Below are 12,297 nucleotides of genomic sequence, written 5' to 3'. Positions count from 1 at the left end.
GTGTTCTCTTCCTACAGCTTCGTGTCTTTCTTTGTAAAGGCTCCTAACATCCTGCCACATGGTGAACCTGTCCCTCCCTACGGCTGGACAGTTAGGGAGATTTGCTTTATGGTACATGTCTGGGTGCGTGCTGTGGGAACCTCCATGGAGAATAACTTTACATGTGGATCTGTGAGCGCAGAGACATGCATGCATCTTCTGGGCTTTTTAAAAGTTTGTGATGACAAGAGGCTGACAGGTGCACAGCAGGCTGCATGGAATTGCCACTCTGAGGAGTGCACTGTCAGCCTCAAGTCACCCCTCCCTCGACACCTGCTCACCCGCCCCCTCACCTGTTCCTCATCCCCAGGGCAGGAAGCAGCCCCATCCAAAGCTTCTGTCTTCCCGTGTGGCCTCTGTGGTCCTTCTGGCACCCCTGACCCCCTCAACCACCTTATTTGTCATCAAACATCTCCACCACCCTCAGGCTCTTAGGACAGATGAACAAATGTCTGATGCGGCGCACAACCCAGTTAGCCACAGACTCAGCCTCCTTTTGCAACCCTGCCCACCAGCTTTGCTAACAACCCCTTTTTTCTCTCCTTTTGAAGCAGTGGCAGATACAGATGCAGCTTATTTTCAGATGCAAATCAATGCATCTCCACTGCTGCAGGCTGGGTTGCTGGGCCTAGCTTTGCAGGACTGTGTCTGCTTATTGTCTCAATACAGGCTGGGGCCTACCCTGGTCTGGGGGTCCACCCTGGTGGTGCCAGGTGACTGGTGTGGTTTTGTGGAGCCCCTCTGTGCACTGGGCTTTGATCCAGGCCCTGGGGGGTGAGATAAGAGAAATAAAGAACAGAAACTCTGTTCCATGTTCTCCCTAGTACTGAGGGCTTCTGAATATCTCTTACAGTGGACTTCTGCCATAACCCGCACAGTTTTTTGTTTTGTTTTGTTTGTTTTTTGGGACGGAGTCTTGCTCTATCGCCAGGCTGGAGTGCAGTGGTGCAATCTCAGCTCACTGCAACTTCCGCCTCCCGGATTCAAGCGATTCTACTGCCTCAGCCTCCCAAGTAGCTGGAATTACAGGCACCCGCCACCGCGCCTGGCTAACTTTTGTATTTTTAGTAGAAATGGGGCTTCACCATCTTGGCCAGGCTAGTCTCACACTCCTGACCTCATGATCCACCCGCCTCAGCCTCCCAAAGTGCTGGGATTACAGGCATGAGCCATCGTGCCCATAACTTGTTTTGTTTTGTTTTTTTGAGACTCGGTCTCCCTCTGTCACCCAGCCTGGAGTGCAGTGGTGCAATCTCAGCTCACTTCAGCCTCCACCTCCTGGGCTCAAGTGATCCTCCCAGCTGAGCCTCCCAAGTATCTGAGACTGCAGGGGTGCACCACCACCCCAGCTGATTGCTTTATTTTTTTGGTAGAGACGGGTTTTCACCATGTTGCTCAGGCTGGTCTCAAACTTCTGAGCTCAAGGGATCCACCTGCCTCAATCTTCAAAAGTGCTGGGTTTACAGGCGTAAGGCATAAGCCACCGCACCTGGCCCCTGCACAGCTTTCAAGATTTGCCTCCCTCTTGCTCACCTTTTCCCACCTGCCCCCTGCCCTGCTGCCCCGCTAAGAAAAGAGTGCATGTGATTCTTCTTCACAGAATTATATTGCAGTATGAGTGTTAGGAACCAGCATAATACAATAGTGTGGGATGTTCAGACCAGTTCAACGAGTGTTCTCAGAGAATCTTCCATGTGTCTGGCACATCATGCCACACAAAGTACGTCACTATCTACGTCAGGAAACTAGATGGAAAAATGTCTAGACTCCTGGTCTGCTCACAAGACAGATGTATACACAATTATAATACAATGTGATGGGAACAAGAGAGGTTGGTGACATTAAATGATAATGTGGAATATTTATTATCTGTGGAATGTTTGGGGAGAAATGTTCCCAATCTGTCTTCTTTCCTTGTTTACTTACACATCTCACCTCAAAGTTACATGTTCTCTGTCTGAGCCTCTTGCTCTTGAAATCTAGCTGCCTCAAGGGAACATTTTCAGATTAGACCCAAGAAAGACAGTACTTTTCCCAGTCTAAGTGCAAAAGCCCCGTGAATCTGGCCCACTTCACAGTTGTACGTGTATCCTCCATCCTCTCTGTAACTTAATATTCCATCCACCTTTAACAAGCTTTTCCCTTCATTTGTGACTAGACTGGGGATGTGAACACTACAGAGGAAGAAGCTGCCTGTGGAACTCACGGGGTACCAAAACTTTTTTGGCAAGATAATGCCCAGTGCTGGTGAGGTTCTGGCGAGATTGCCACTCGCAGATACACACGGGTGCTTGTGGTTTAAATGGACTCTGCACTGTTGGAAAGCAATCTGAAAGCATGAACAAGAGCTATGAAGCATAACTCCTTTTTTTTTTTTTTTTTTTTTTTTTTAGACAGAGTCTCACTCGTCACCCAGGCTGGGGTACAATGGTGTGATCACGGCTCACCTGCAACCTTCATCTCCCAGGCTCAAGTGATCCTCCCACGTCAGCTTCCTGGGTAGCTGGGATTACAGGCGTGCGCCACCACGCCCAGCTAATTTTTATATTTTTAGTAGACGCAGGGTTTCTCCATGTTGGCCAGCCTGATCTCGAACTCCTGACCTCAAGTGATCTGCCCACCTTGGCCTCCCAAAGTGCTGGGATTACAGGCATGAGCCACCACGCCCAGCCTATGAAGCAGAACTTCTGACCCACTAGATGCACAGTTTTTGTCCAGCTTTGAGATTACAAAAGCTTCATTCCTCGAGGAGCTATCTTTAAAAGGAGAAAAGACTTTAAGTGTCCACCCACAGGGAAATAGTTAATTAGACTGAAAGCTCCTTCAATACACAGACTTATCCCTATGCATAAAGCATAGGACAGGCAGTGGGCCATAGTAGGTCCTCAGTAGATGTTTGAGAACCTGTGAGGCGAGGGAAAAGGCAGTGCAGTGGTTAGAAACACAGTTCCTAGAGCCAGCCTGCTGGGTTCAAATCCCAGCTCTGCACTAACTTGCTGTGCAACCTAGGGAAAGTTATATACCTCTCTGTGCCTCAGTTTCCTCTTCTGTAAAATAAGGATGATGATTAGAGTAGAACCAAACTTACAGGATTATAAGAATTAAAGAAGGTAGAATAGGTGAGGTATACATGACTGTGAATATTAACTATGATTATTTTCATTGAATAAAATGTTCTGAGACATGATGTGGCAATTATAAATGATAATAATTAATACCATGGGCAAAGTAGAATGAATATTAATAATGTCATAGCCTCCACCCTGCTCCTCCTGCCTCTTGCCTTGCACTCTCTGGTACATTATTTCCCAGCTGTCCTATAGCTGACAAGCAAAACTAACCTTGTCCCTGCACTGCTATGCTTTGATTGTGTCAGTTTCCCTAAAATACTGGAAACTGCTTCATACTCTGATACCCTTACTGCCCCCCTCACCCAACTTGGCAAACTCATAGTCATCTGTCCAGACTTACATCACACCTAGAGCCTTTCTTCCTTGACACACCTGAGCATTGCCACTCATTGTTTCTGAATCATAACAATTGATTAAGAGACAAACATGTGACTGGCCCCGCCTGCCCTCCAGGTCTGGAGCTAGAGAGTCATGCACACGAACACTGTCAATGCCAAAGAGCTGATCAAGACCCCTTTCTGGCCCCTTGATCTCTTCCCTCTGTCCCTTCCATCTTTCTGCATTGCTTTTCCAACTTAGTCTTTGCAAACCACTCTCACAATTTGTGCCACAACTGCCAATCATCTGTGCTATTCACTACTTAATATTTTCAAAAATCGAGTCTCTCTCTCTTTGTATTTTTTTGATTTTTTTTAGATGGAGTCTTGCTCTGCCCAGGCTGGAGTCCAGTGGCACGATCTTGGCTCACTGCAACCTCCACCTCCCAGGTTCAAGCGATTCTCCTGCCTCAGCCTCCCAAGTACATAGGACTACAGGCATGTGCCACCATGCCCAGCTAATTTTTGTATTTTTAGTAGAGATGGGATTTCACCATGTTGGTCAGGCTGATTTCGAACTCCTGACCTCAGGTGATCTACCCACCTCAGTCTCCCAAAGTGCTGGGATTACAGGTGTGAGCCACCGCACCTGGCCCCGACTCTCTCTTTAAAAACATAAATATATTTCTTTTAGCAGGCCTAGGAGGAGGCTGGAGGGCCAGCTGGATCATGGAAGAGTGGGGAGAAGAACCAGAGCAGGAGGTCTGGGCTTGGGAAAGCCTGGAGGGATTGGACAGGGTCCAGACAGGGGAGGGCCCAGGGCAGTCAAGAGTTTAAAGGCCCAGCCTGGGTCAGATCTGCATTTTAGGAAGATCCCCTGTGGCTACCAGGGGCAGGCTGGACAAAGGTCTGTGAAGACAACCTCAGCAAGAGTGGATGCCAGGAGTTTATATCCAACACTAGGAAAATAAATTCCAAATGTGGAGTGCATACATTGTTCTCTGGGAGTGAGGGTATCCATGGGCTCTTAACTCTGAGAGTTAAGAATAAGGTTTCTCCCAACCAGGAGCTGATGTTCAAGCTGCCTGGAGGCAGACAGGGCCAACTCTCTGGCAGCCAGTTCCCCAGTGTAGGGTGTGGGCTCCCGCCATGACCTTCCCCACCTGGCTGGCCCTGTGTGCTCAGATGCAGTCCTGATGGCCGAGCCCCTGAGAGACTGCCAGGCTCTGCAGCTGCCTCTTCTCTTCAGGCCTTGTTCTGCCCAAGAGCAGGTCCACAACTATCTACGGAATTAGCCTTCAGTGGCAGGAATTGAAGAAGTGGGCCCTAAAGTATGCCTTGAACTGGGAAGGGGCAATCAAGTAGGGAGGCAGATGGGCAGGGCAGCAGGCACTGCCCCACGTGGAGTTTCCCAGCTTCCTCCTTGGTTTCTGGTGCTTTCTGCCATTGTCTCGTTGGCTATAGGGGCTGCTGGGGCATTGGTTCCAGTAATAGGATTGAAAGAAAGCAGCACCTTAGTTTATCAGTCTGGGCTCTGCTACTAATGCTCACCTTGTCTTGGTCAAGTTGATTGACTTTAGGAACATGAAGGGGTTTGAATCACATTGGTGGTTTTCAGCAGGGGATATACCTCTGTGTGGCCTGGGTTGTGGTTTGGACTTAGAATATCCAGGCAATGGGCCTGGTAGAAATGTTTTCAGAAATTCCACCAGTAACTGTGAAGGTCAACACCAGCCTTAGTTCATCTCTGAGGTCCTTGTCACCCCTCATTTTCTGGTGAGGTCCATTGGGCACATTCTCCCACTTGGGGGGTGGTGTGGGTATAGAACCCCAGCATTGTACCAAGAACTTGCAGCATACTAAAGAAAGATACCACTTACATTGTCCAGGCCAGCCCTATTCCAGATTCAGAACTATTAAGTCTCTAATCCTCATAACAACCCCACGAGGATGTAACTTCTATTATCCCCATTTTACAGTGAAGGAAGGAGACGCAGAGAGGTTCAGCTACTTGCTAGTGAGTAGAGAGCTGGGATGCCTACCCTAGTAGTGTATTGTCAATCATCTCTCTCTGTTGCCTCCTGTGCAAGCAAGGAAGGCTGATTAGTGATCCTGCATGTGGCCCATTATGGCAATTATGAGGTTGTCTTTTCCTCAGCTGTTTAGGGGTTTGCAGGTCTGTTATCATCTGTGCCCTAGACTGGAGTTCCTAGAAGGCAGAAACTGTCTTGATAGCTCCAGCGTCCAGTAGTCTGGCATATGGCAAGTGTTCAATTGCTGCTGAGTGAATACATAAATGCATGCATGAATTAATGAATGAATAAGTGAGTGCATGGATGACCAGTGCTGGGACAGAGAGAGGCACGGGATGCTGAGGAATCCAGGGCAGCCTCTGTCAGGGCAGAGGCTCAGAATCAGGCCCCAGAGGGTGGTTTGTGCCATGATCTGTCCATACCCAAGGGGCCCCTAAACAATATCGTCTGTCTCTTTGTACACAGTCCACCTTGTGGAGTTGGCCCAACTACTGGTTGTAGCAAAACCTCCGCCCAGCCCGGGCTGCAGCCTTCCCCGCCCAGGCAGACTCTCCAGTGGAAGGAGGCTCCTCCCCTGGGCTCCAGGGCTTGTATCTTGGGGAAAGGAAGTCAAGCTGGATTTTCACCCACTTCTCTGCCTCCCTCCCATCGCTCCCAGATCATCTGACCATTCACAGGAAGTCCATGGTGGGGTGTGGCTGTTTTTAAGGACTTTGGCATTGTTTCAGGAAAGGAAAAAAAAAAAAAAGCTAAACAAACAACTGCTCAAAACACTAAAACAATTCTCTGATTTGTTTCAAATTTGTATAGGGGATGGGGTTTTCATAAATAGCCAGGCTGGTGGTGGTGTGGAGATGTGATCTTTTGGGCATATTAATAACAACTGCCTCCCTCACCAAGACTAGGCCCTATGTTAAGTGCTTCTGGGGCTTGATCTTATTTAATCCATACATCCCTGGGCCATACTGTGATTATGAGGAGGAGTTTCAGAGAGGTTAAGGGGCTTACCCAAGGGCACACAGCTGCAAAGTGGTTAGAGCAAAGATCTTAAGCCATGTATTTTTTTTCTTTTTTTTTCTTCTTTTGTGACAGGGTCTTACTCTGTTGCCCAGGCTTGAGTGCAGTGATGCAAACATGGCTCACTGCAACCTGGACCTCCCGGGCTCAAGTGATCTTCCCACCTTACCTTCCCATGTAGCTGGGACCACAGGCACAGGCCACCATGCCCAGCTAATTTTTTGATTTTTTTGTAGGAATGGGGTCTCACTTTGTTGCCCAGGCTGGCCTGTAACTCCTGGACTCAAGCAATCCTCCCCACTCTGCCTCCCAAAGTGCTGAAATTACAGACGTAAGCCACTGCACCCAGCCCCAAGTATTTCTTGACTCTGGAGTCAGATAGCCTGGGCTTGAATCCTGACTCTGCTATTTACTATCACGTGACTTCTGGCGAGTTAGTTAACCCCTCTGTGCCTCAGTTTCCTCATTTATAAAATGAAGATAACTGTCTGTTTCATAGGGTTGTTGTGAGCATTCAATTATACACATTAAGCACTTAGAACAGTGCCTGAATCATGGTGAAAGTTCATAAATGTTAGCTATATTTCAATACAAATGGAAATTAACACTTTATTTAATACAAATAGAAATTAACACTTCACTTACTACCTGTTTCTGGTGTCTTTTACTGCTGACATTATATATAGCATTCCACTGACCTTTGACTTTTATATGTACATTCTCCTGACTTTGTGTTTTATCAAATCCTCAATGACACTTATAATCTGTACCATTATCTATAATATACCATTACAGTGTGTACCACTTAAAACAATTTTTAAGACATCTTTGATTATAAAATATGTCCTAATTTCAGAGTGCAGAGATAAAAGTATAACTTTCTTATCAGTGAAATATGGTAAGAATGGTCTGACCCTTTATTACTGAGTTGGGTCCTTCCTGGGTATGAATTCTCCCTGCTCCCTAGATGGCATCTGTATTAGTTGATCTAGATAACAGTTCCACCCAATGCAGTCTGGCCCCTGGACTCTTAACCCAGGGCCAGCCCCAATGGCTGGTATTACTGGCAGGTCAGCTCCAGGCAAGTGGGACTACCCTTGTCTGATACAGCTGGTAGAAGGGGCTCATGTCAGGCCAGGTGTGCTGGCTCATGCCTGTAATCCCAGCACTTTGGAAGGCCGATGGGGGCAGATTGCTTGAGTCCAGGAGTTTGAGACCAGTCTGGGCAACATGGTGAAAACCCAACTCTACAAAAAATACAAAAACTAGTCAGGTGTGATGCCGCGCACCTGAAGTCTCAGCTACTCAGGAGGCTGAGGTGGGAGGATTGCTCAAACCCAGAAGGTTGAGGCTGCAATGAACCATGATTGTGTCACTGCTCTCCAGCCTAGGAGACAGAGCAAGTCTCTGTCTCAAAACACAAAAATAAAATTAAAAAAAAAAAAGGGGCTCACGTCAGCTTGTAACCTGACCTCTTGTTGATCATTAAAGCTAGAGGCTCAACCTGTGACCATGACCAGACAAATAAATAAAGCCAGGGGTGCAGGGTCAGGTGACTTCCTCACCTGCAGTGATTGCTTTGGAGCATCCTGCTCCAGCCTGTTTGAGTTGGATTTGTTCACATTGCAATGAAAATGTGAGATCAGTTCCCAAGGAGAGTGGTGTGTAGGAAAAAACTAACCATCCTTTGGTATCATTTGCCCAGGTGGTGGGCGAAGGACACCTTGTGTGGGTTTCAATGGCCTAATTATATTTGGAGTCATTCCTTCTGCGTTTGTTTTCCCTGTGATTCAATGAAAGGTAGGGAGTGTTGGGAAAGGTTTAGCCTGACATCATGGCTGGCTCTAGGGAGTTGGCAGAGGCACAGGCAAGAACCAATTTAGTCCCATGTACCCCATAAACATATACACCTACTATATACCCACAAAAATAAAATATTGAAATAAAAAATTCATAGAAAAAAAGAGAGCTAATTTTGGTATTTGATGTTGACTGAATGCCCTTCCTAAATGACAGTGCCCGTCTATGGCCATCATGAAAAGAAACAGGGCTCCTGAGACAGATTTATTTTGTGTTTGAGACAGAGTCTCTCTTAGTTGCCAGGCTGGAGTGCAGTGGTGCAATCACAGCTCACTGCAGCCTCTACCTCCCAGGCTTGAGTGATCCTCCCACCTCAGCCTCCAGAGTAACGGAGGAGACCACCCCTCATATTGTCTTATGCCCAATTTCTGCCTCCAAAGAAAGAAGAAGTAAAAACTAAAAGACAGAAATGAAATCCACCAGCAGACAGCCCAGCGCCACACCCTGGGCCTGGTAGTTAAAGATCGACCCCTGACCTAATAGGTTATGTTATCTATAGATTACAGACATTGTATAGAAAAGCACTGTGAAAATCCCCATCCTGTTCTGTTCCGTTCCAATTACTGGTGCATGCAGCCCCCAGTCACGTACCCCTTGCTTGCTCAATCGATCACGACCCTCTCACGCAGACCCCCTTAGAGTTGTGAGCCCTTAAAAGGGACAGGAATTGCTCACTCAGGGAGCTCGGCTCTTGAGACAGGAGTCTTACTGATGCTCCCGGCTGAATAAACTGCTTCCTTCTTTAACTCGATGTCTGAGGGGTTTTGTCTGCAGCTTTTCCTGCTACAAGAGTATCTGGGACCACAGGCACACCACCATGTGCAGCGAATTTTTTAAAAATTATTATTTGTAGAGACGAGCTCTCACTATGTTGCCCAGGCTGGTCTTGAACTCCTGGGTGCAAGTGACTCTCACGCCTTGGCCTCCAAAAGTGCTGGGATTAAAGGTGTGAGCCACTGGGCCCAGCCTGGAGACAGATTAATCTGAATTTACATGCTCGATGGTCTTCTCTTAGCTGTGTGACCTGAGGAGCTGGCCTCTCTGAACCTCCACAGCTATAATACAGGATAATTCTACAGGGTTGTTAAGAAGTACCAGGGATAGTGACGAGCACGTGGTCAGTGCTCAACAGATGGTAGTAGCAGCTGTCAAGTGCCTGCCATGTACCTGACACTGTTGCAGATACAAAATAGAAGCTAAACACTATTCATGGAGGAGAGGTATTATTACAGTATTCTTAGATCAAAGCTCTGAAAGTTACAAGCTGTTAAGCAGCCAAGCCAGCAATCACCTGTCTTTCTTGGGACTGCAGCCTCAGCCAACACTTCTGCAAAGTCCTCTGGGCAGCAGGCCCTGTGGCGAGAAAGTGGGCCAAGCTGCTATATGAACAGCCTCCTGATCTGAGGCCAGATGGGGCCAAGCCTAGAAAGCTGGGTCTTTGCCAGGTGTTGAGCAGCGTGACCCAGACACAGTCTGAGGGAGCTGCTTTCTCCACCCAGCACAAGCTGGATGAGCGTGCACCAGGATGCCCATCCCAGCTCCCCAGGCCAGAGCTACTGCCATGACTGCTGACCGGGGGCTGGTCTCTCACTTGCCAAGGCATCAACAACCACTGTGACCCAAATATCAGCCAGGGGTAGAGTCCAGTGGGAAAAGTTTGAAGGATTTCCTCAGGTGTAAGGAATTTGCATTCTAAATGAGTAACCAACACCCAAGAATGAGTACCTAGCAACAGGCTGTATTTGAAGGAAGTGATGTGGAAATTAGGACTCTGATGGAACTTGAGAAATGGGCAAGATGACTTCTGGCTGGGCCAGCTTATCTGACCACCAAAAACAGGCCATTTAGGTAATGCATCATAAACTCAAATATACAAGAATTGGGTTTGTTATGAAATTGGGTAAAACAAGTGAGACAGGCTCATGTCACCCAGGGGGATGGCAGGGACAACCTTTGACTTGGGGGCTTCCCGGTCCTATTTCCCAGAAGCTGCCTGCAGACCCTTGCAACACAGCAAGGCCACAGTAATGTTTACTGTTTCTCTTCTGAGCTCAACTGTTATCATCCAAGGGAGAACTTGAAGCCTGTGTAATTTCTGCCAAATCATGTTAGGGGTCTTAGAGGTGGCAAGATGGTTGGGGAGTACACAGAAATCACTGTCTGTGCTCTAGCACAGTTTATATCTAATTAAGAAGTTTTGGCCAGGTGTGGGGGGCTAACACCTGTAATCCCAGCACTTTGGGAGGCCAAGGCGGGAGGACTGCTACAGTCTGGGAGATGGAGACCAGCCTAGGCAGCAAGACCTTGTCTCTATAAAAAATACAAAAATTAGCTGGGTGTGATGGTGCATAACTATAGTCCCAGCTACTCAGGAGGCTGAGACAGGAGAATCGATTGAGCTCAGGAGATGGAGGCTGCAGTGAGCCGTGATCATGCCACTGCACCCCAACCTGGGTCACAGGGCGAGACCATCTTGAAAAAATAAAGAAGTTTCAAGGAGGCATTCCTGCTGTTCCTATGCCTTAGTCCATTTGGGCTGCTAGAAGAAAGTACCATAGACTAGATGGGTTATAAACAACAGAAGTTAACTTCTCACAGTTCTGGATGTTGGAAGTTTGAGATCAGGGTGCAGGTCCTCTTCTCGGTTAGACTGTTGTCTTCTCATTGTATCTTCACATGGTGGAGAGGGAATGAGAGCTTTCTAGGGTTCCTTTCACACGGGCACGAATCCCATTATGAGGACTCCGCCCTCATGACCTAATCACCTCCCAAAGGCCCCACTCCCTAATATCATTACATTGAGGATTAGGATTTCAACGTATTACTGGTGGTGGTGGTGGTGGTCGTGGGGTGTGCATACAACATTCGGTCCATAATATTAACTGTGCTTTTCCTCAGCCATTACTGTGAGATTAATATTGTGAATCATACAACTTACTGGGTTTCCCATTTTGTGTGAGTTTGTTTTTGACACAGAGTCTGGTTCTGTCATGCAGGCTGGAGTGCAGTGGCGCCATCTTGGATCAATGCCAACTTTGCCTCCCAGGTTCAAGCTATTCTCCTGCCTCAGCCTCCTGAGTAGCTGGGACTTACAGGCATGAGCCACCACGCCCAGGTAATTTTTGGGGAGTATTTTTAGTAGAGATGGGGTTTCACCATGTTGGCCAGGCTGGTCTCCAGCTCCTGACCTCAAGTGATCTGCCCACCAGAGTCTCCCAAAGTGCTGGGATTACAGGTGTGAGCCCCTGTGCCCGGCCATTTTGTGTGAGTTTGGTGCCAAAATATTTAGCTCACTTGGTGCAAATGTATGTCTTTTAAGATTTCCATTTAAGGCAGGGCGTGATGGCTCATGCCTGTAATCCCAGCACTTTGGGAGGCTGAGGTGGGTGGATCACCTGAGGTCAGGAATTCCAGACCAGCCTGGCCAACATGGCAGAACCCTGTCTCTACTAAAAAAAAAAAAAATACAGCCGGGCGTGGTGGCTCACGCCTGTAATCCCAGCACTTTGGGAGGCCGACGCAGGCAGATCACGAGGTCAAGAGATCGAGACCATCCTGGCCACCATGGTGAAACCCCACCTCTGCTAAAAATACAAAAATTAGCTGGGCATGGTGGCAGGCACCTGTAGTCCCAGCTACTTGGGAGGCTGAGGCAGGAGAATCGCTTGAACCCAGGAGGCAGAGGTTGCAGTGAGCCGAGAATGTGCCACTGCACTCCAGCCTGGTGACAGGGAGAGACTCCGTCTCAAAATAAATAAATAAATAACCCAGGTGTGGTGGCACGGCCTGTAATCCCTGCTACTCAGGAGGCTGAGACAGGAGAATCTCTTGAACCCGGGAGGCGGAGGTTGTGGTGCGCTGAGCCTGCACCACTGCATTCCAGTCTGGGCAACAGAGCGA

At 48.0% G+C, this 12,297-nt stretch overlaps 3 annotated features.

Moving 5' to 3' along the window:
• Nucleotides 536-1,036: an enhancer, noted in NCBI's record as "H3K4me1 hESC enhancer chr17:25655836-25656336 (GRCh37/hg19 assembly coordinates)". NCBI's record gives its function as "activates a minimal SCP1, AML or CMV promoter by ChIP-STARR-seq in primed H9 embryonic stem cells {active_cell/tissue: H9 hESC(primed)}" and the evidence as "EXISTENCE:reporter gene assay evidence [ECO:0000049][PMID:30033119]".
• Nucleotides 4,171-4,671: an enhancer, noted in NCBI's record as "H3K4me1 hESC enhancer chr17:25652201-25652701 (GRCh37/hg19 assembly coordinates)". NCBI's record gives its function as "activates a minimal SCP1, AML or CMV promoter by ChIP-STARR-seq in primed H9 embryonic stem cells {active_cell/tissue: H9 hESC(primed)}" and the evidence as "EXISTENCE:reporter gene assay evidence [ECO:0000049][PMID:30033119]".
• Nucleotides 4,672-5,172: an enhancer, noted in NCBI's record as "H3K4me1 hESC enhancer chr17:25651700-25652200 (GRCh37/hg19 assembly coordinates)". NCBI's record gives its function as "activates a minimal SCP1, AML or CMV promoter by ChIP-STARR-seq in primed H9 embryonic stem cells {active_cell/tissue: H9 hESC(primed)}" and the evidence as "EXISTENCE:reporter gene assay evidence [ECO:0000049][PMID:30033119]".

This window comes from Homo sapiens, chromosome 17 (assembly GCF_000001405.40).
Source record: "Homo sapiens chromosome 17, GRCh38.p14 Primary Assembly".
In the NCBI taxonomy this organism is placed as follows: Eukaryota; Metazoa; Chordata; class Mammalia; order Primates; family Hominidae; genus Homo; species Homo sapiens.
This window is presented reverse-complemented; position numbering and strand designations above follow the sequence as displayed.